At 42.0% G+C, this 24,530-nt stretch overlaps 1 long non-coding RNA gene across 1 annotated transcript in view; it reads left to right on the top strand.

Annotated features, from left to right (window-relative positions):
• Positions 1–531: 531 nt before the first annotated feature.
• Positions 532–24,530, top strand: part of LOC105370777 (uncharacterized) — a 556,255-nt gene continuing 532,256 nt past the window's right edge. Inside the window, exon 1 of the long non-coding RNA XR_007064588.1 lies at positions 532–1,048. This is a non-coding gene — a long non-coding RNA (uncharacterized LOC105370777). The remainder of the gene's footprint in view (positions 1,049–24,530) is intronic.

Raw genomic sequence — 24,530 nt, 5'->3', positions numbered from 1 at the left:
TCATCAAAGTCATTCTCCATCCAGCTTTGTTCTGTTGCTGGTGAGGAACTGCGTTCCTTTGGAGGAGGAGAGGCACTCTGCGTTTTAGAGTTTCCAGTTTTTCTGCTCTGTTTTTTCCCCATCTTTGTGGTTTTATCTACTTTTGGTCTTTGATGATGGTGATGTACAGATGGGTTTTTGGTGTGGATGTCCTTTCTGTTTGTTAGTTTTCCTTCTAACAGACGGGACCCTCAGCTGCAGGTCTGTTGGAATACCCTGCCGTGTGAGGTGTCAGTGTGCCCCTGCTGGGGGGTGCCTCCCAGTTAGGCTGCTCGGGGGTCAGGGGTCAGGGACCCACTTGAGGAGGCAGTCTGCTGGTTCTCACATCTCCAGCTGCGTGCTAGGAGAACCACTGCTCTCTTCAAAGCTGTCAGACAGTGACATTTAAGTCTGCAGAGGTTACTCCTGTCTTTTTGTTTGTCTGTGCCCTGCCCCCAGAGGTGGAGCCTACAGAGGCAGGCAGGCCTCCTTGAGCTGTGGTGGGCTCCACCCAGTTGGAGCTTCCCGGCTGCTTTGTTTACCTAAGCAAGCCTGGGCAATGGCGGGCGCCCCTCCCCCAGCCTCGCTGTCGCCTTGCAGTTTGATCTCAGACTGCTGTGCTAGCAATCAGCGAGACTCCGTGGGCGTAGGACCCTCCGAGCCAGGTGCGGGATATAGTCTGGTGGTGCGCCGTTTTTTAAGTCGGTCTGAAAAGCGCAATATTCGGGTGGGAGTGACCCGATTTTCCAGGTGCGTCCGTCACCCCTTTCTTTGACTCGGAAAGGGAACTCCCTGACCCCTTGCGCTTCCCAGGTGAGGCAATGCCTCGCCCTGCTTCGGCTCGCACACAGTGCACACACCCACTGGCCTGCATCCACTGTCTGGCACTCCCTAGTGAGATGAACCCGGTACCTCAGATGGAAATGCAGAAATCACCCGTCTTCTGCGTCGCTCACGCTGGGAGCTGTAGACCGGAGCTGTTCCTATTCGGCCATCTTGGGTCTGGATTCGGCATTACATGTCTTAACGGGTAATTTTTTCTTCCCTTCTCCTGCTGTGTGTTGCCATAGTGCACTGAGCTGGCTTTTTGTCCAGGAAGCCCCTGAGTTTGGTATTAGAAAGTGATTTCCAAAGAAGAATTATTTGACTCTAGTCATGGAGAGAGATGAAAATAAGGACAGAGGGGCCCAGGGACTCTGTGATGTGGTCCTTAAAGCAGCCATTCCCACCACGTCTCCTGTCAGGGTCCATCAGCAGCTGTGGCAGGCCCATCAGTGGCAGGAATGGAAACAGCAGGACTGGGATTAGGACACCCAGGCCCTGGCAGGGGCCCTGCCACTGATGTTGGGCAGGTCCCATCATATCTTTGGGGTTCAATGTATTCATCTCTAAAAGGAAGGCTTGGGGTTGATGATCATGATGGTGTTTTTTAGCTGAGCTATTGAGTATGCCATCTCCCCACTCAATTCTCCACCTCCCCTCATATGAGTGTCTCCCTACACCTTTTGGCATGATGATTTCCTGTGAATAGCTGTGGTGACTTTTAGAATCGTCTAGCAAATGACTTTATTCTTTTCTGCTTGTATCTCATGGAGAAGGGCTAAGTTTATGAATGTAGGCCTAGTGTTGGGAGAGGATCTGTGGAGGAGGAACGGGGACTTGTACAGCATGATTTGCCCTTGCTGTCACCTAGCAAAAGAATTTTTGGAATTCTCAGGGCTGTCCCCTTTCAGCTGTAGAATTTGTATATGCAGCATCTGATTGGGCCTGTCGTGCCTGCATGAATCAGACTAACCTACCACAGCAAGGTAGGAACAGCAAGGCAGAGACTTTGAATCCACATGCCTGTTTTCTTTTGTTAAGCTTGGAGAAAAAAGTCTAATGGGATTTAAAATGACACAACCCATTTCTTACCTTATAGAAAAATCAACTCAAGATGGATTAAGGACTTAAACCTAAGACTTGAAACTATAAAAATTCTAGAAGATAACATTGGAAAAACCCTTCTAGACATTGACTTAGATAAGTATTTCATGACCAAGAACCCAAAAGCAAATGCAATAAAAACAAAGATAAATAACTAGGACCTAACTGAACTAAGAGCTTTTGTGCAGCAAAAAGAACAGTCAGCAGAGTAAACAGACAACCTACAGAGTGGGAGAAAATCTTCACAATCTATACATCTGACAAAGGACTAATATTCAGAATCCACAACAAACACAAATCAGTGAAAAAATCCTATCAAAAAGTGGGCTAAGGACATAAATAGACAATTCTCAAAAGAAGATATACAAACGTCCAATAAACATGCAAAAAATGCTCAACATCACTAATGATCAGGGAAATGCAAATCAAAACCACAATGTGATATCACTTTGCTCCTGCAAGAATGGCCATAATCAAAAAATTGAAAAACAGTAGATGTTGGCGTGGGTGTGGTGATAAGGGAACACTTCTACACTGCTGGTGGGAATGTAAACTAGTACAGCCACTGTGGAAAATGGTGTGGAGATTCCTTAAAGAATGAAAAGTAGAACTACCATTTGATCCAGCAATCCCGTTACTGGGTATCTACCCAGAGGAAAAGAAGTCATTATTCAAAAAAGATAACTTGCACACACATGTTTATAGCAGCGCAGTTCACGATTGCAAAATCGTGGAACCATCCAAATACCCATCAATCAATGAGTAAAGAAACTGTGGTGTGTATATATATATATATATATGATGGTATACTACATAGCCATAAAAAGGAATGAATCAACAGCATTTGCAGTGACCTGGATGAGACTGGAGACTATTATTCTAAGTGAAGTAACTCAGGAATGGAAAACCAAACATCGTATGTTCTCACTGATATATGGGAGCTAAGCTATGAGGACGCAAGGGCATAGGAATGATACAATGGACTTTGGGGATTTGGGGAAAGGGATAGGAGGGGGCAAGGGATAAAAGACTTCAACTAGGGTGCTGTGTATACTGCTCAGGTGATGGGTCCACCAAAATATTGCAAATCACCACTAAAGAACTTATGTAACCAAATATCACCTGTACCCCAATAACTTATGGAAAAATAAAAAGTATAAATAAAATAAAAAATAAAATAAATGCACACCCCAACCCCATGCCAAAAAGAAAGAAAGAATAAAAGATACAATCCTATAGACTTAGATTCTCTAGAATTCCGTGTGTGATCATGGTTCATAGCCTTCTGATATGTCCGTTTTAGTCCACCTGTGGTTGAGATTTCTCTAGGCGCGGACCCATCCACCGCATGTACCCCTCCTTCATGTCTGCTCTGCTTGCCTTCATCGGTCAGATGGAAACACAGGTGAGAGTGAAGACCCAGGGACAGGCAGCTTTGCTTCTCCCTGGTCCTCCCTCAATTCACCTGGGAGAGAAGTAAAGAAAATTTCTTCCCTCCAACACTTTTGTTATGAATAGTTTATACAAAACCTGCAAGGCAATTGGCTGCTATCTAGTTCTTTAATCTGCCTATTTAGACTACTAAGGACCATTGCCAAGAAGCGCCCATGATCTGAAATGTTTGAAATGTTTCAATGCCAATGCACAATAGCTCCTCAGAGAACATGTGGTCACGTGCGGATGGTTGGATCAGGTCCCCATGTGCAGAAAGGCTGAGTGCACATCCCACTGCTCCAACAGCATTCTGGCTCTCCACAAGATGGAAAATACATTGTTGCTGAATTGCCAAAGATAGGATGAGTGTGCAGTAGGGGTTCTGTCCAAAGTGGGGGTCATTCCGGGAAAACTCTGCTTTCCGAATTAAGTATTACAAAGCTTGGCATTTGATTCAACACTTCTCTTTGTTCTATTGTAACACCTGGCAGAGATATAGTGAATGATCATCTTTTTTGGAGTTTATTAATTCCATAAGCCTCTGTTTATAAATGGTTGCTTTAAATAAAGAGCAAATAGATAAAAGTGAGAGCTGACAGATGGAGCATCAATCCTTTGATGTCATCCTTGGATCAAACAGGCAAGTCCTCGTGAGTAACTTTCCAAATTAGCCCAGCCAGGCTTGGTGGAGCAGGGCATTTGGGCCTTTAGGAAGGATAGCTAGGCCTGTTTTGCAGGCCCACACCAAAGCCCAGTTCATACCCACTCTCTGGGGACCTGTTGAAAATACAGATTTAGCAACCTCTTGGACATAGTGTTGGAGGCTGTTTTAGACTCTTCTGGAAGTCAAGGTAGGTTTCTTGGTGGCTTATGAAATACTAACCTTTCACAGAGTTGAGAAGTTATACAAATTCATCAGATACACACACACACATACACACACATACAATCTAGAAGTTATATCTAGGTTGGCAGAGAAAACTTGCTGTGTCATCTTTGAGGTGTGGTCTGCCTAAACATCTGGAGGTTTTTATCTCTTGCAAAGAATTCTCTTCAGGTCTTTGGAAAAGCCATCTGCTCATTTGTCTTGAGCCTTGTCTTCCCATCTAGATGATAGCCTTCTTGAGGAACAGTGATCTTAGTCTACATTCTCCAATGAAGCAAGCATAGTGCTTTGCAAAGGTGCTAGGTGATATAACTGAGGCACAATAAACCTGCTGTTTCTTAGTATCCCCGATCAGTCCATGCAGATGCACCAAACAGATAACTCGGACATGTCTTTGACACTGTGTCAGCTGGATTCCCTGGGAAGAAAATGCTGAGATGGAGCTAGAGGTTTATGGAGTGGAGGGATAATGCCTATGAAAGGGGAAGAACACAGGATTGAGCAGGGGATGTCTTCAGAGACCCATGCGAATATCATACCTGTGGAAGGAAAAGGGGGAGGAAGTAGGACTAAGAATCGGGAGTCTCAAACTATAATGCAGATCTGACAAAGTCTAGGGAAACCCAAAAGGGGGCTCCAGAGAAAACGATTACAGGAGTCCTGCCTTAGGTAGAAAGGAATGGGCGCTAATATCCCTGCTGTGTGCGGTCATTGGCTAACAGCTGCCTGGGGAAAGTGTAGCTTGAGCACAAAAGCTGAAGCAAATCCTGAAGGTGCTAATGGCTGGAGCTTATCAGCTAACTGCACTTCCTGCAGCCAAATAGCAAGCTCTTTCTTGAAGGGACATCTGGTAGCATGCCTCCATGGACACACAGGCATCCTCCTGTATTTCCCCATCTTGCTCCATCATACCCATTCATATGAAATCCATGATTTGAAGTCATTTTAGCTCCCAAACATTTTTCAGGTTGGCTTATTTCTTCATATCTTAGACGCTAGACCAAGTTACTGTCCTTTCTGTCCTGGACCCATGACCAACGTGATAAGCATGTGACCAGTGCAGTCATACAGGGACCCTTACTCCAAAGGACCCTCAACTTGGGATTTTATGCTCTGCATGAGCTGTCTTGCACTGCTTAATGCCAATTTTATCTCTGAACTTACATTTTGTAAGAGGAGAGTGATGGGACCATGTGCCTTGGCTCATACACTGTTCCATCTCCTGCTGCCTCTCTGCTTCCCTTGAGGGTTCTTGGCTACCCACTCCCTGGTTCCTGGTGCCCCAGGCTACATCTGGTCTCCTCTTGCCCACCTCGATGGCTGCTGCCGCCTCCTGCCTCTAACAGGTACCTGGCCACAGGTGTGAGGAGGGTTGGGGTTGGGTGTGGGTTCTTGGGACTGAAAATGGTGATGACCATCCCTGCCAGGGACTGGCAATGCCATGGCACATTTAGCACATGACTCAGCAGGGGTGTGCTTCTTGCACATCCCAGATTTACTTCCTAATGTGGAGGTTACAATTCTTTGTGAGTTCCCCTCTCCTGTGGGTTGGGGTGGCAGGCCCATGGGAAGGGCAGACACCTGGCTCAACTTCCCCACTTCCAGCTGGGGCAGGGAATTTCAAGCTGGTGGCTGACCCTGGAGCAGTTGGGCTTTGTCACAGGGTGGTACTCCCTCCTGAGTGCCAGTGAGAATCTGCACTCACCCCAGGAGTATCCCTGTGCCCAAGAGAGCGTAATACTCAGTAGCAATTTAAAAACCACAGGACCCATTAGCACAGGAGAAAGGAATAAACTTAATGTTTTCCTACCTTTAAACGCACTTTTATCCTTCTTTGTGAGCAAGGGTCCTTTCATTTTGCTTTGCACTGGTCTTTACATGTTATGCAGCTGGTCCTGCCTCTGGTAACTTCTAGCTGCCTCTTGACATCCGCCCTTCCCTCCCTCCAATCTGCTGTCCACATTGCAATGTTCCAAACCTAAATCTGATCAGGATACAGCCTCGCCCCAGGTGAGGTTGCTGCATAGCTCCCCATCACTCTTAGGGTGGAGTTGCCTAAGTCCTGTAGCACAGGCTGACCATGCTCCAGCCTCACGACATGTGTGGCAGTTCCCCCACATGCAGAGAGCTCCTGCCCTGGCATGCTCTCTCCCAGGAGGCACACTGGGGTCTCCAGGAGCACCCCTGAGCCTGGGGCTTGGGGATGAGTGGCCCACCTTTCTTGTCCCTCAGTGAGACAACTCTGAAGTATGTTTTACATGGGATCTCAGAAGTCCTAGCGGGACTGAGGCCCAGTTGCTCAGGTGGAAATCCACTGTTGCTGTCCTCCTGTCTTTTCTCACTTTCCTCCTCCCTCACTGAGCTCTCTGAAATCATCTGCTAATTAAACTATACTTGAACCCAGTCCTTGTCTCAGAGTCTGTGTCTAGGGAACCCAACTCAATCTGGCCCCACCTGCCCTCATCCTGCACTCCCTCTCGAGGTCCCTCTGTGTTTGTTGACTGTGCCACACTCCTGCCTGCCGTGGCCTCTGCAGGTGCTGCTCATTCTTTCTGAGATGTTTCCCATCTTCTGTGCCTCTGAATTCTGCATTAATCATTAATTCCTAACCACTCCAAGCCTTTCCTAACTTCAAAGTTATAGCTAGGTTCTTCGATTACATATTTTCAGAGCCTCTGTTTCTTGTGCATCAAGAAACAGTTTGTACATTTAGGGTCATTATGAGAATTTGATTAACATCTACCTTGTCCAGTAGCTGTCAGCTTCCTGAGAGGAAAGACCACATGCCTTATTGCTTTCCACTTTCTCTCCAAAGCCATCACAAAGCCTGAGTCTTTACTGGTGCCCAATAAATAATTACTAGAAGCTTGATGAATTCAAAGACATTTAAAAACTGTCACAGAAGCCGCTCGCAGCATACAAAACCTCTGAGTCATTTAAGCTGTGTGACATGGGGCAAGTTCCTTAAATTTTCCAAGCCTCAATTTCCTAATGTGAACACGGAATAATAATCATACCTGTGTTTTAGGGCTCTCTTAAGAATTAAATGAGATAATGCATGTAACGGGCTTAGCAAGGTGAGTGCTAATTAAAATGCTGTTTGTTTCTCTATGTATGCAATTTGTGAAAATATTAGGAATTATATGGAAGGATGACTATAAAGCAGAAAACAACACCTATGATAAAAGATAAAAATGAAGGAATCAGTGTGTCTGGCAAAAAAGATGAGGGAGTATGAATTGCTATACAAAAATATATAGACTTATTCCCCAGAATTGGGGCTCTTCTCCATCTTCACTGAATACGGGCTACAAGAAAATTTTGACAAACTGCAGCACATTAGATAAAAATTAGCTGTAAAGTTGAATTTCCACTAGGGCCCCAAGTTTACTGTTGTCTCCCAGTCAATTCTCTCTATTCTTAAATATTGTCATTATAATTTGGTTATGTTTAGCCTGCACTTTGTGTTGCAACAGGTTTGTGATGTGTCACTAGAAGCTGAAGTCAGTGTTTCAGGGCAGTATATTAGTTTCTACTCAGGCACAACTAGCAACACATCCTGTCTTTGCGTGTTTTCTGTTTCATGTGCTCTCCAGATGAGCAATTAACATTTAAATGCTCATTTTGGTGTTCTTTTTAAAAATGAGGAACTGTCAGACATTGAAACATACTTGTGACATGATTCTTAGAAGTAATTGAAAATTGAGATGGGTGAACTGTTGCCTAGGACTTGAATTTCTACAGGCCAAGCCTTATTTGTGTATTTACTTAATATGTAATATATGTATTTTTGTATTTACATATTTACTTAATATTTCTATTATACTCTATGTGTATTCATTTAAATATTTAGACATATAAGCATTGTTCATTAAGCACCTTCTAGGAAGAAGTGATACATGATTCAGAGAAGAGCTAAAGATGTTTCCAGTTCCAGGGAACTTTGATAGGAGAGTTGTGAGTTTACATCACAGATAAATCCTCATTTGATCAACAAGTATTCGTTAGCACTTGCTATATTCCACTCTTCGAAGGTACTGGCCATATAACCTTGAACAAACAAGAGTTTTACTTTCTTAGAGCCTGTAGTACGTAATTCCAGATAATGGTGATAAATGTCATAAGAGAGGACTAGCAAAGCACTCAGTAAATTTAGAAAGCAAGGAGCACATCCATCCAGGAAGCTTTCAAGGAGAAGATGGGCCTTAAAGTAAAGGCAGGGGTCTGCCAGCTAAAGAAAGGGTCTAAGGCTTCCAGGTAGAAGAGGGGCAAGGATGATGTCCAAGGGTTTGAACTCATAAACAATGTCTAGGTATAGGGGATTGCAAATCATCTATTAAAGAGTCAATCGAAAAAACAAAACAAAACAAAACTACACAACCACAAAGGAGTGGAGCGAAGCCTGCAGAACAGGATTCCTTAGCCTCAGCAGTACTGAGACTGGTCAATTCTTTGTGGCAGGGGGCTGTCTCATGCATTGTAGGATATTTAGCAGCATCTCTGCTCTTTATTTATTAGATACTGCCAATACCACTAGCATACCTGGAGTCATGACAAAAATGTACCCTGGATGCAGGCACAATGCACCTCCCCTTCCTCTTAGGGACCACCACAATAGAGTGGGCCCAGACTGTGAGGATCCTTAACTATCACAGTGAGGAGTACTGATTATAACTGGATGTAAAGGGTCCACCAATATCAGCTGAAGGATTATACTGTTAGCTTTGTGCATCAGATTGGAGTTTGAAGATATTGAAAGGGCGAGGGGAGATATTTGATGGAGAACTATTAATAAGAGATTAACCAGGTAGTGAGAGAAAGGACAAAAAGAAATAAGATGGTAGAAATTATATTATTAATCTGCCTTTGCCACTTGTTTCCAGGTCTTTTGCATCTCTTGTTAGGTTGTTTTATTCTTCTGATTGTTGAAGTGCTCAAAGCCTAAACTTGCTCTTTGAGGGGCGTTATAAAACTTCAGATCATTTATTTGTCATAGATGAAATAGGTTCCTCAAAAGATAGTTCTCTCTGGGGGAAGTGAAGGATGTGAGAAAACTTGTAATAATCTGGGTTGACTTTGGATTGTGGAAAGTTGAAATGCAAGAGACTTAGCTCCTTTCAGTGCTCCCTCGAGATAGTTTCATGCTGGCAAGAACTGAAATGATATACTCAAAGATTAGAGAAATAGCTAAGCCTTCAGCAAGTTTATAGAGGAAAGAACACATTCATCCAGGAAATTTTCAAGGAAAAGATTTGATATTTATGCAATTTTATAGACAACTTGGGAAGGGCAACTTAATGAAGCCCACATTTATCAGTAGTATGTGGGGTGTGTGTGTGAGAGAGAGAATGAGAGAAAGTGTGAGTTTGTGTGTGTGATTCCTTCCTCCTACCTTACCATCAGTGCTTGAGCTTACTCTGCATGCCTCTTGAGGATTCTCACTCTTAGTGTGGTCATAGACAGGAAATGGAAACCTGGTGGTTTCCAAGCCCATCGCTTTTGCTGATACACTGTGGGATGTTGGGCAAACCATTTCACCTCCCTGTGCCTCTGCTTTAGGTCATTGAGAATGAGGAAGCAAGATTCCATCAAACATTTAACTTTCAAAATCAGCTGTGGTCCAAGAGGTTGAGTGTCCTGGCTAATTGGCTTCCTCTTAGTTAATCTCCCATTTCTATGTTATGATCAAACTTTGATTGTGGTAGAGTCAATGGCTGCTCTGTGTCTGTGGTTTTAACGCAAGTCTGATCTTGAGTCTGGGTATGTGCATAGGTCTAAATCTTAGCCTGTAATAAGCCCTCTCCAAATCCTTCCTGAGGCTCTGGGCTAAATATGTCCTGGAAGTGAGAAGCAAGGTACAAGATGCCAGGGCAAAAAGAAAACACCACCTGAATAATCTAGTAGGTAGAGCCAGCTTTTAAAGATAAGTTTGCCTCCCTGCTCAGACAATTGATCTCTGCACTCAAAAGCAAATAAGTCTGTCTTACCCATTGTTTTCTTTTTTTGTTTTAACTCGAAATATGTCAGTGAAGTACTTCCTAGGTCTGGGAAACTGGGCAGTTGCAGAAAACAAAGTTCCCCTTGCCAGGGAGGTTACATTCAAGTGTAACCTGGGAGGAGACAGAAAATAGAGAAATACGTTTTTTCAAGGGGTTAAAAATGATAAAAAATAAGATAGAGGAGTCAGGATGATAGTGAGATTTTAATCTTTTAGGTAGGGTGGCCAAGGGGAGCATTTCTGAAAAGGTGGTATTTAAGCAGCCATCTGAATGCAGTGCGGAAAGGAATGCCACAGCCGTTTTTTGGGGGAGCACCCCAGGCACAGGGGAGCAGCAAGTTAAAGGTCGTGAGGAGAAGTGAGCCTGGAGTGTCAGAGCACAGAAAGCCTTTGCTTGAGGTTTAAACTGTCCAGGAATAGGCTGAGGAAGACCCGGTGGTGCTGGGATACAAGAAGAGGCGTTCAATTATTCTGTTGTATCTTTCCGGTTTTATCACTTCCAACTCAGAAGTGTGCGACAATACTATTTGCCCTATAGTTTACTAGAAAAAGCTAGATTGTACTTCTGGATAAATCAACCATCTTGAAAGGAGAAATCTGCAGGGAAGAACTTGAATGAGGTAGCTTTGCACCTACTGGAATGGGAGCCAATACAAATGGATTGTGCGATTGGGGTCGGAGCACTGGGGCCTAAAAGATACTTGAGAATCGTAGTTACTATCTATGATAGCTCCAGGGCACTGTGAGGCTTTGGAGTGTCCTCTTAACCTAGGGACTCCAGAGAAGGTTAGCAATAATTAACACATGGCTCCAAATCCATGATATTTCATTTCCTTCCAGATGGGGTACTGTGTTTTCATTTATTGCCATTCCTCATTGCAGAGAGCACAGCAATAGGAAAATCATGTGCACGTAGTCAATATTTATTGAACATGTTGTAACTGAGTCATAGACCTAGGAATCTGGTGATACTGGGAAAATCTTGGAGGAGCTTCAGGTCCTGGCCCCTGCTGATGAAAGTATAAGTTTCTTCAAGACCAATATGGAAAACATCTTCTAAGCTCATATCAGGATGGACTTAGCAGTCATAAACCAATCACTTGCCATAAACCAGTCAGAGATATTATTCTGAAGAAAATTTGTTGCTAGAGTTGTTGTAGTCACAGGATTCTAGTGTCATATTAACAATGACTTTTTGATGACCATATCCATAAGACATCCATATACTTGCCAAAATTGAGAAACACATTAGAGAACATAGCTTGTGCCATTTGCGTAGGCTGTGAGATCTCACTAAAGTATTCTAGATAACATTCATTGGAGTTGAGTATCTCTATTTCACATTTACCTATCTTTTTTGGAAAAATCTCAAGGAGATTCCACAAAGTCACTTGCAGATGTTTAAGGAAATACTGGCTCTTCTTTATTTCCCTTAATTCCTCTTGCTATCATCATTGTTGTTATGATTCCTGCTACTATTATTTAGAGTTTTTATTGCTTGTAGTGACCTTTTCTGTATTTTCCTTCCAGATATGTTACTGAATATCCTACGCCATGGGATAGGTTAGTAGATTTCTAGTTTTGTTTCGAAGGAGAATTAATGATTCAAGTTTTATTTATAGGGATAATAGTCCATAGATACTTGATGATACTGTTATCCCACTGTCTTGCAAAAGTAACGATGCATTTATTTGCTATTGTTTGAAATATCTTACTTGCTTTGTGATTTGGGGCATATTTCTTAGCATCTTTAAACCTCATTTTCATCATATGTAAAATGAGGGAAAATTAATAGTAACCATGTTAAAGGTTGTTCTTAAAATTACCTGAGATTTTATGTATATTTATCATTTTATCTATCTGTCTATCTACTTATCCATCCATCCACCCACCCACCCATCCATCCATCCACCCACCCATCCATCCAACCACCCATCCATCCACCCACCCATCCATCCACCCACCCATCCATCCAACCACCCAGCTACCCACCCACCCACCCACCCATCCACCCATCCACCCACCCACCCACTCATCCACCCATCCACCTACCCATCCACCCATCCACCTACCCATCCACCTACCCACCTACCCATCCACCCATCCACCTACCCATCCATCCATCCATCCATCCATCCATCCATCCATCCATCCATCCATCCATCTTACCAAGCCCTGTGTCTGGCAGAAGTTGGGTTCAGTAAGAAAGAACTGGAATCATTAGCTATGATAATAAACAGAGCTGGGAAAAAATAGAAGGTAACTTTAAGATACAGCATGACTACATTAATAAGCTCACTACTTCGTATAAATTCAAAGAGCTCCTAGGTAGACTAAGTTCTTCAGAAATAGGACTCATTTCCATTTGTTTGGACCAGTGTAGATTCAGTGATTTAAACATTTTTTTCCTTCTAAACAGTCCTCACATCTGATATCCCAGTTACATATTTGTCCTTTTTTAGCATTATCATCCAAGGTATTTAATTTTTAAAAACTATACATAAGAAAAGATGATCTCTACAACCATGATTAGATGATCACTTGGATAATCTAAGGGCTGCCCAACTATGAGACTTTATAAGTCTCAACCCTTATGTAGTACCATTAGTTGGTATATTCAATCATAGCAATTATTATACCCATTTTATAGAAAAGCACACTGAGATGTAAAGAGGTAAAGTAATACCTCACAGTGCAAGTTTGAATATTTCTTAAGTGATATTCATACTGAAGTTTACCTGATAACAACATCATTTTCTTAAATACAATACTGCCCATGCCAGTGGAAATTATAAAACCCTCAAAAACTCTCAAACAGTTCAAAATAGCAATATAATCTTAAGTCACAAAATGATAGGGATTTAGAATAACATAACATATTTCATATAATACCTGGAGATAAGGATGTGGCGTTGCATAGAGGTAGACAAACCAAATAATATCAAGATTTTTCAATAATGTTGTCTTTTATTACTTTAGGAACAAATTGACAACCACAAATTACAGGCTAAGAAGAATAAGCAGTTCATTTTAGCATTGTCATTTAATAAAACTAACAATTTTGTCACATTAAAATATACGTTACTTCTGTTGTATTTGGCCATACATTGATGGGTGTATGGTTATATTTAGTATTGCAATGGTTACATTTAGTATTACTTTTATAGAAAAAAAATAGAACTTTTTTCCCCCATTGTTTAGTCCACTGGTACTAATAACTTGTCTCATCATGAATAATTTTCCCTGATGCTGCGTTCTTTTTCTTTGTTATCATCAACATGTATATGATCACACTCAGATTCTAGATCTTACTCCCAGTAAGGTTCTCTTGTCCTTGATCTTGGCTTTCTTTTCCTTGAGCAGGCCTGGGGCTTTTTGTACCCCATGCTAATGCTTCAAGCTGCCTGGTCTTCTACTGAGTTGGAGCATGCCCAATATTGTGATGCAGGCATAATTTCAAATATTCTTTCAGGTTTTTTTTAGATTATGGGTCAGCCCATGGATCTCGTGCAGAAAACTAGAGTCACCATATCAGATTGGTTTAGTCCTAGAGAACTAGATGATCAGGAACCTTAGAAGCTGAGCTTCCCTAAGGAATAATGTTGTAAGGAAAGCCCGTTACCCTTTTTGAGGGAATTGGGTTGCCCTATACTGGGATAGTGGCCTCAGGAAGGGTAAAGGGCTCAGTCAGAGGGAGCCCTGCACCCTGAGTCTGGCCATGCAGGAGCAGGAAGATAGAAACAGGCCAGGCAACTCCTTGTTCCTTTCACGTAAGCATTCTGTCACTTCTTGTTGCACTCCAACCCCTAGACCACAGGGCACTGGAAAAGTTTGTATAGGTAGTTTTGGTTTAAAACCAGTTTTAGGCGTAGTGCGGTGTTAAGGATATGAAGACCTCTCTGCCTCTCACTGAACTCTCCTGCCAGAAATCTCCCCATCTGTTTTCTATTGTCTGAAATTCCTTAAACATATGTCTTAAATTGCACAAGATTAAAGACTTAAACATGCAAATATGGTAAATGATGAGTCTTTTGTTGAATTTGGGAAGGAGACTGGAAAGAGAACTTTGGAGATATAGAAACAAATGCCTGACCTTTGCAATGTTCTTTGGGCTAGTACTACCTATTTTTATCTTGCTGAGAACCTCTGTGTAGCAACCAGGTTTTTTTTGTAGAATGTTTCTTCACTTTCTGAACCTCCAATGACAAGTCATCACCATCTATCATGATGCTCTTTTCCAACAGTGATTTCTGTTGTCATCAGTGAATATATCTGACACATTGTATTATTCATATGTTCTTTCTAAAGGTCCAGTTAGATGACTTGTATTATCTCTGATAGGTGACAATGGAACTTAAAGCACCAGCCAAGTAAATCTGGTGAGGGGGCAATTGGGGTATCATCTAGGAAGCTGAGACAAAAATGAGGGAAAAGAGGGACACTGTCTTACGTTATATGAATTAGCTGCATGTTTTGGGTTGAACTTAGCATTTTATTTATTTGAGCGTTAATACACTTAAAAATACCCATTTCAGTGCCTGTTATATTCTAGAAATTGTACTTGGTGCTAGATTTACAACAGAACAAGAAAGATGTGGTTCCTCTTTGCATAGAGCCATGGTCTAGTGGCTAGAAGTGTAGCCACAAGAGACCACGAGATCATCTAGTACAAACCACCTCATTTTACGTATTAGAAAATGGAAGCACTGAGATGGGAAGGAAATCGCCCTTTGTTACAGCTGATGAGTAGCAGAGCCAGAATTCTAACTTGGCTCTTAGGACTCACAGCCCAATTACCTGGTTAAATTAACAAAGTGAATTAATGCAGGTCTGCAGACATTACGGCTACAACCCCCTCAACAGTCTCCTGTCTGTGGCCTAAAAGTCTCTGCCCTTCCCCTAGCCTCACAGATACCAGATAGGGACATAAATATCAAGGTGAATTTTAGCTGTGATGTTAAATTAGATCATATTCCTGTGTGATGAAGAAGCAGAGTGATGGAGCATTGTTCCCTTTGGGTGAAAGTCGTCTTCTCCCTCTACCCCTCAGTGCATTTCTGGGCCTGCCTGGGCAGAGAATTTTGGCCAACTACTGGATTTTTGTTAAAAATGATAATTAAAGAGGGAGCAGGAAGGGAGTACGTTCCAATATGATCCAGAAGAGTCAGCACTTGCTCTGGATAATAAATTCTTTATGCTTCAGGTTATTACTTAACCTGTGTTTCAGGTTCCCTTCTGGAATCAATAAAGGGACATTCTCAATCTGTGGATTTAATGACTGACTTCTTGCTTATAGAGCTAATACGTTAGAACCACAGGAAGGTAGGTGGTGGTCTGGAATCATCCACAGTGTGTACGCTCCTGCTCTTTGTAGGACTCTTGCAGGCAACTTTTAACCTTCTTTCAAGATTGTCTTTAATAGAGATCCATATTTCTGGAATTTTCTAGAAAATAAGAGTTTTAAGAATGTAGTGGGAGTTTTTAGACTGGTTTTATATGACATTGGACATGCATTTTAATATGGAATGCTGGGGTTGTTCCTGTAGGCCTCCCAAAGTCACAAAAAGAAGCATCCTTCCTCAAGGCTCCCGACACATTTCATTGATGGTCTTAGCCTGTGTGTGGTGCCCACCCTATGGTGAACCCAGGGCTCCTGCAATGACTCGACTGCAGCTGCCATTCTCTTCCTTTCTCTCCCATTCAAGGAAGCATATGACCATGTTTCCCAAACTTGTTTTACCTGGAACCTTTTATTTTTTTTCAGGGATTCCCTATTAATAATTCGTGGCACTATTCTGTAGAATAAAACTTGGGAAACAGTGACATATAGACAGGAAAATGAGTGAATGCAATGATGTTGCAGGGCTAATCTCACCACAGTTCAATTTATTAAAGCAAAATGTGTAATTCCTCAAATTCTGTACTTTAATTTGTATTGATAATCCAGCGCTGGAGTTAACATAGATTTCAGGAGTGAACAGAATGCTGGTTCTATTCCCTTGGTTCTGGCTTGAGAAGGGGCTGAAGAAAATGGTGAGCCCACTCAACTGAGGGTAGTGTCTACTTCTGCCCCAGAGAATTTGTCCCAGGGAGGATGCAGCTCAGAACAGCAGGTTTTTCTTAAGTGTGTACTTTCATTGATGCCTCATTTCTGGTCAGCGTGAGGGGAAAAGCGGCAAAAAGATAGTCACTCAAGTTAGTCATGTTGGGAAACTTATCTGTTTTAGGCAGTGGTTCCTCTCAGCAAGGGGTGGAAGATATGTGGTCCAGCCTCAGGCTAAAGCCGTTTCCCAGTACTATCACTAATACTAGTCCTGTGCTATTTCCAGCTCCAGCTCGTCATTTGTCTATTGGCTTGCGAAACTACCATCTAAGAGGGCAAAAGCATTTCTACTGCCTTGGGCCATTTCCTTCTGACATTCTTTACTGATGACCTCTGAAGCAGCTATGATCACTTCTTGGCATGTCAGACCATCATCTATTGGCTCTTTGTCTCACCAGAAACAGGCCAGCCCCAGCTGGTCCAAGCAATATGAGTGTGGGTTAACTTCAGGGATACAGGGTCCTGGGCTGGTTCCCAGCTGGTCTGCATTTAACAAAGCAAAATTGGGAGTTGTGATGATCTGGAGGTGTTCTGAAGGGGTGAACTGGTGGAATTACAAATTACTTAGTTCATTCCCTGCCCTCTAGTAGAAATGAATCTAAACTAATCCAGACTGGTAAGAAGGATAGACACAGTATTAAAGGCCTATTGCAAAGAAGATGCTATAGCTACTTTCCTTCATTTTGGTGACCCCAAACTTTGATGTTTCTTGGTGATGGAAGAACCATGACTGTCCCTCTTCCATAGAATTTTCCTTAGGGTCCACTGAATTCATGTACACATGCACACGCACACACACACACTCACACAGTTTACTATTACCATTAGGGACTGTGGTGCATGTGGCTGTGTGCTGAGGGAAGAAAAAAAATGCATAATAGCCTGCCTCCAAAAAAATGTATCAGATATAAAACATATGCAAAGACACATATGATAAGAACCATGTGAGTATGGACCATGAGTTAGATTTATGAGTGTGGGGTATTGTGAAGGAGGTGCATCTGCAGCTGAGAATCACAATACAACAACAACAACAACTACTACTACTACTTTTTAACATTTATTAAACAGTTGCTAAATTCCTGGTATGGTTTTAAATACCTTGACACACTCTTCTAAGTGCTTCATATATGTGTTTAATCATCACATTCCTCGAAGGAAGACAGAGGAGGAAATTGAAGCATTTAAGTAACTTGCCCAAGGTCACACAGCTGCCTAAGGGTGGAACTAGATTTAAATCCAAAGCAGTCAGGTTGCACAGCCTTGCTCCTGTCTCCCAAGTATGCTGTCAATAATCGAGGAATTTCAATATGCACAGAGAAGAGCAAAGGCTTTCCTGCTGAGAACAGACTGGTCAGTAAAGGAGTAGGGGTAGTAACGTTTTAGATGGGAGCAGCCTGGCTTGTGGGTGCTTAGTGTAGTGATTGGCACAATGCCTGGAATGGAGTAAGTGCTTGTTTGTTGAATTATAGGAATTTGAGTTATTGACTGAATGGCTAGAGAGAGATAATGTTAGAGAAGTAGGCTGTTATCAAATTGTGTAGGGTTTTGAATTTCAGCTTAAGTGGTTTAAACTTAGTACTGTGGATGATATCTTCTCTACAATGCTGGATTTCTGAAGAGGCCAACACACTAGTCTATAAATGTGCTATTCTATACATTCTTCTTTGCATTTTCTCTTTTTCAGTGCTTTGTATACAATTGCTAGAAAAAAATGGAAACCATGCTAATCGAGCCTATTACCAAATGCTTGCTAAATTTTGCTATTTAACTATAGAAGTTATATGTTAGCTTTAACTTGACAAGTCAGTCTTTGCTTGTGATGCCCATAGCCCCTTCTAAATATATGCTAATGGACAAGTCTTTAGGTAACCCAGTTATATATGGTGTGACCCTACTCTCTCTGGCTTCTGTGGGCATCATGACATGACAATGCACTTGCTTTTTAAATATCAAGAATATGGAAGCATTAGCAGTGGATGTAGAAACTGGAAGATTATGCTGAAGAGAATAGTCAAAGAGGACACAAAGAACTACATGTATAGTGAAATTATGAGGGAGTAGAGGTAATACATAGGGAGAAATTATTTTATGTATCTTGAGCCCAGACGTTTTGATTTCAAATTCAGTTCTGGATGCTTCCTGAAATTTTCTATAAAGTTAAAAGTCCTCCCACCCCTTTTCAATATTCATTCTCCTTGACTTTTCTGCTGCATTTTACATAATTGCTTGTTCACTTTTTTTGGAAACCCTTTCTACTGAAATGCGATATTCTCCTGGGTCTTCCCCCTTCCGCTACTGCCCCTATTCTCTTCTTAAGCACCTTTCCTTCTATGCTCAAGCCTTTGATGAAACACATTTCTTTTCTGACTTTCCCTCTGCATAATGTTATCCATGGCCAGGCTTTAAACCCTCATCACTTTTCATATGTGCCCCAAAGTATGCAGACAACAGAGACATCTTTTCCAAGCTATCATGGGAGGGCTCCCATTTCTAGTTCTTTGCACAGTGCTTCCAACTGGATAACACTAAATCAAGAACGTTCCATGTAGTTCCGTGGATGCCCCCTTGGTTCAAGACTTTATTACCTTTTACCTGGCATCTTTATTCCCAAAGGATTTTATATGCTGCTGCCAGATGAATCCTTAAATCACAGCTGTGATTCTGTCACTGAAGATTTTGGGTCCTAAATCTTCAGTGACTCCTGATCTACCAGAAAAAATTTACATTCCTTAACATCATACTTCAGTGCATCTTCAATATGGTTCCACCAGACGATGCCAGAATATCTATGTGTTGATGCTTTTGCAAGTAGAATCCTTCCTATTCCTCCTGTAGCTTTTGAAATTCTATTGGTTTTCTCCAAATTTCCAGAGTGCTGCCTCTTTGATAAAGCATCAGCCATTCTAAGTGGAATTGATATATCTTTTTTCCAAATGTCATGAGGTTATTATTATTTTTTGTTGTTGTTTGTAATTCAGTTAAGGCAATATTATAAGCTTATTGAATATTTATTTTACTTTCCCTGTGATAGCACTAATTTGAATTTGGCTGTTATACAGTTGTCAAAGCTCCCTATGTATGGCCTGCTTGCTCTCAAACCCTGGCCTTTCCCTGCTCTGTTCTGTATCACAGGGGCCGACCTTAGGGCTAAGCTGCCCAGACTTTTGTGTCAACTGGTTTCGCACCGGGTGGTAACAATGGCAGGTGCTAGCATGAGAAACCAGGGTCTTCTCCCACTCCCTTCTGGCTTTTGGAAGCTGTGTCAATGGAGCTGTATCTCTTTTGAGACTCCACCTTGCAGCTGACAGTTCCAGCCTCTAATGGTGGTCCCTGCCCTTGGGTTCTGGGAGCACAGTCTCCTGTTTTCCTGCCTAGGGATGACAGTGGCACCTGCTCTTGTTTATTTCTGGGCTCCTTGTTCTTGCAACACATGTATAATCAATTCCCATATATTAAATTTCTTTTATTTTGAAATACAAATGGTTTCTGCTTTTCTAGGATAGGTGATGATGAATGCACTCCCCTTCTAATTTTCACACCAGATGCTGTCTTATTCTTACACATGTGCCATGGTGCCTGGTTCTGTGATTTGCATACTGTAGGTGCCAAAAAATATTCAATAAATTCATAAGTGGAGGAATATTGCTGTTTAAAAATAGCTGTTAATTTTTAGAGAAATTACTCAGAAAAACTTAGGAGGCACTAACTATATTAGTTGCCAAGGAGCAATACCAAAAAAACAAAAAATTGAAGACAACATCCCTGTCATCGAATATTTAAAAGGCTACTGGAAGATTTAAAAAGGACATTCAATTTTGCAATAGAAAATTTAGTGGACTGGAAAATATCTACTTAAAATATTTCTTTGTCATGTTTTCTTTTCCTGAGCATTGAGGAATGCTTGTGAAGTTACGGGGCTTGAATTGTTCTTAAAATTAGCTATCCAGTGTCTTTTTCTAATCCCAAATATCGGTATTCTCCACTTTGGCCCTAGGAGATTAGGAGGGTGTTAAAATGGTTACTGTGTTACATATTACATTGATTTTGAGTGTTTTATTTCTTGAGGTCCTTGAACCAACAAGAACTCATGTGTTCTCTGAGTCACTGTCATCGCCACTGCTCTGTAGGTTTCCCACTCCCAAGAGCTGCGATAACAGGGATGACTATACAGCAATGTGTGGGTTGCAGCTGGAGTAACAAGCCAGCACTTTCAGACCCATCCTCATGGCAAAGGAAGGTGGATTTGTGCTTTAAGTTATTAATGGAATTCCCTACTCTGCCTTTGGACTGACTCATGGCCTTGAACCTTCTCTCCCCGTTTTAATTTCCTCACTCTTAAGAAAGTACACGAGTGATGGAAAGAATTCTGTTAGAAAATGACTTGATAGAATACAGAATGAGCTCCGAGGGAGGGAGAATTTAACCACTGCCATAGATAGGTGCTGCCACACAAAGTTGTTGTGAGAAGTAATTAGTCTGGCGGATCTGGGGAAGAATGTTGATTTGTTGAATCAACAATTATTTATTGGGTACCTACTACATTACCAGTGACAAAGACTTTCCCTTGACCAAAACTTTAGTCAGGCTCCTCTGAGTCCTCTGATTGACCTTGAACTTCCCCCTGTGTCCTTATAGAATCCCATTTGAGCAACAATCCTCCTAAGTCAGGTTAGAAAAAATTCTCCACCCTTGGAATTCCTTGATATCTTATCACCCTGGCCTGCCTTCGGCCATAATCCTATCAAGTTGATTTAGCCAGAAAACCTTTATCCTTGATATTTCCTGTTAGTAATTTTCTATCCACTGCCCCCTGCCCACCTGCTCCTTGGTGATAAAACCTGTCATGTATTTGTTGGAGTCAGAGTTGAGCCAGCCTCTCTCCCCCACTGCAAGACCCCACTGTGGTGGTTTCTATACCTGTAGCCATGTCCCCTGCCCCTTGAATAAAGTTTGCATTACCATCTTTAACAAGTGTTAAATGTGTGGTAGGCCATTGATTGGACTGAGCTCCTGTACCAGGCTCCAAGAGACCAACCAAAATGGAGTCACTCAAGCTAAGGTTCCCTGTCACCGAACTGAAACCTAAGCTGTTTACTTGTAAGATCTGACCTTTGGAGAAATCAGGAGAGATTATAACCAAAACCCTAAGCAGGAAAGTTTTCTGAAAAAATAAGAGATTCACAGCAACCAATCAAAAGAAGCCCAGTCCACCTAAGCCAGCATGTAAAGCAGTCTCCACTGCTTTAACCCGTAAAGGAAAGTAACCTGTAGTAAAATAAAGGAAAGTAACCTGAGGTAACCTGATGTTAACCAATCCAGTTTTTGCATTAGGCTGTTGCCTTGTTCCCGCTCAAGCTACCTTACAAAAACTGACTGTTCTGCCATCTCCAATGGAGCTCCTGTCTATTTTGTAGACTGGATGCTGCCTGGTTCATGAATCACTAGTAAAAGCCAATTAGATCTTTAAAACTCAATTTGTTGAAATTGTGTTCTTTGACACAAGTGTCATGAGTAATTTTTTAATTTAACACCAGTACTGTGGTTGGTAGTAAGAATTCAAAAGAAGTTGCCAACAAGCTTCTGCTTTTATCATAAGAAAATATACTATTCCTGTTTTCCTATTGTTAATCTTTGAAGAAAAAAGATCAGAATGACCTTTTCTGTTTGTTCAGATTCTTGGAGTTGAAAGCAATGGGGAAAAGCACACATTTGGTCTATTGGAGTTAGTATCTCTTACTGCTTTGCATGCAGATGTGGTTATTCATGTAACAATGCATAGTGTCTAAAGTCTCCTTAAAATGTCTGCCTGCATTGACAGGGAACACAGACATTTAAAAATAAGTTAGTTTCCACTTGGGAGGAGGGTCCTGAGGGAGTGAAGTCAGAACCTCTAGCCTGGAAGGCTGGCCTGGTAACAATTTGTTCATTGCTGAGTGTGTCGGAAATCAGCTGGGACTTTAGTTTTAGTAGAACTTTTTTCTTTTTTCTCCCAAAGGAGAATGTGTCCATGACTATTCACCTTAAAGGCATACGGTTTTGATATTAGATATTTCAGAGAGTTTGCTATTCCCCACTGCAGAGAAACCTGAGCTGCCCTGATCATGAGAATAGTAGGCTTAGCTCAGCAGCCTGGGACCTCACGCCTTGCTTGGAGTCTCTGCTTTTTCCCAGGCAAATTTGGGAAGGGTATGATTCCCTATCTAGCACAAGGTACAGCTTGCATGTGCTCATGTAGAACTGTTCGATTAGAGGTTACTGGATCTTCACAGCAAACATAGCTCAAGGGAGGAGGCTGAGGGTCTCCAAGCACCTGGGCATGGCTTAGCTTTTCCTCTGCCAGATCACTCATTTATTTAAGGAACATCTCTTGAGTACCTATCATATGCCAGGCCATTGCTGCTGTTAAAAACAAATAAATGACAGGTGTTAGACTCAAAGAATTGTGGCTGTAAATATATACAGCTTTTAAATTCCAATCAGGTAATTTTATAATTTTTAACATGAGCTAGAAGATGATGGATTTTAAAACCACCTCTAAGAATACTCTTCATATGGTAAGGTCAACCTCATGGGGAGGTAACCCCATAATGGGGAGAGGATGGATGTCACTGATAAAAGATCCTATTCCCAAAAGTGACTCCCTTAGATTTCTCAAGTTCTCAGTATTTTTTCAATTTCTGTTTTGGGTAACAAAGATTTTAAATCTGCAGATACCTTTGAATGACCAATTCATGAAGCTTATTACAATGGCAGTTCAAGTTTAACTTGAAACTATTATAAGTTAAGTTTAATTTAACTATTAAAATGTCAGTTCATCAGTTTAACTTCCTCTTAATGCTCTAGAATTTTCCTTTCTGAGCCTGGAGAAGTTTTCTTTTTCTTCTTCCTGCCTTGTGGCTCTCCTTCTCCTAGGTGCCTACTTTCTGCTAGGCAAGGGAACAAAAAACTCTAGGCAGGGGTGGGAGCTCCCTGAATTTAAAGTGGAGGAGGAGAGAATTGAGATAGTACCCTGTGTGGATTTGGTCACAGTGTGGTGAGAATTGTGACCATCTGCTAGCAGTGAGTTAGCTGCTTAGTCAGGTGTTAAGACCAGGTTGGGGTGAAGGGGTTAGCAACATCAAGGGCCCAACTGTGGTTGCAGAAAATGGAATTTGTGGTTGAGTCAGTACAATCTGATCATTTCTGGTGCAAACAGATAGCTGGCTAATGCTTGTGTATGTGTGTGTCCAGGTTTCCGAGCACGCGCTTATTTGTGTGTGTGTGTGTGTGTGTGTGTGTGACAGAGATAGCTAGCTAGCTAGAGAACAGAAAAGGTGTAAGATGCCTGGCCATTACTTATCCAGCTGTGGGAGCCTCAAATAATGGAATGACTCAAATAATGGAACTTTCAAGTTAGAAAAGAGAGGAGGTTGTTGACTTGCCCGGCTGGTTAGAGGTGCTTTTGGAGCAGTTGTGACTTTATGGTGCCCTGAAAATACTGCTTGAAGCCCTCTGAGAGCTGGGGATACCTGAATGTTTTCTAGATTGAAAATGATGAGGATCATGTTGGACCATCTCAAAACCCTTGGGCCTAACCTAATGTAGGCCTTGAAGAGCTTGTCTGAGTCCAGTACGTTGGAGTCATACCAGCAGAGCTATGGTCGCCATATTGCAGGCCAATTGCATGGCACACCCCAGACTAAGGCTTGTACTTACATGATTTCATTGAATCCTGTCAATAAGCTCATGAAGTAAGTATTATTAACCTTGGTTTATGGGTGAAGAAGCTGAGGCTCAGAGTGATGAGATAACTGCTTAAGATCTAAAATCAGAGGGTTTTGATGTCTCTATTCTTCATTGACTTGTGATTTTGCTTTTGTGGCTAGATTTATGATAATGATTCCCTATTCTGTCCCATGAGAAAAGGTCACAGGGCCTCCAGGTCTCCGAGCTGAACACTCCAATATGACGCAAACCAACGGCCTGAACTTCCACATTGCTGGCTCTCCTTGCGTGTTAGCTTGCTATCGCTGGTTCTGTGACGCAATGTCCATCTTCTTACTCTGCTCATAACTTGGGTGATATCAAGGCAGGGGAGTGAAACATCTGCCCTTCAAAGACCACAAAGGAAGCTATCATGTTCTTGATGACAGCACAAGTGGCAGTGGAGAAAGTGAGGAGCT

Source organism: Homo sapiens, chromosome 15, assembly GCF_000001405.40.
Source record: "Homo sapiens chromosome 15, GRCh38.p14 Primary Assembly".
Classification (NCBI taxonomy): Eukaryota; Metazoa; Chordata; class Mammalia; order Primates; family Hominidae; genus Homo; species Homo sapiens.
This window is presented reverse-complemented; position numbering and strand designations above follow the sequence as displayed.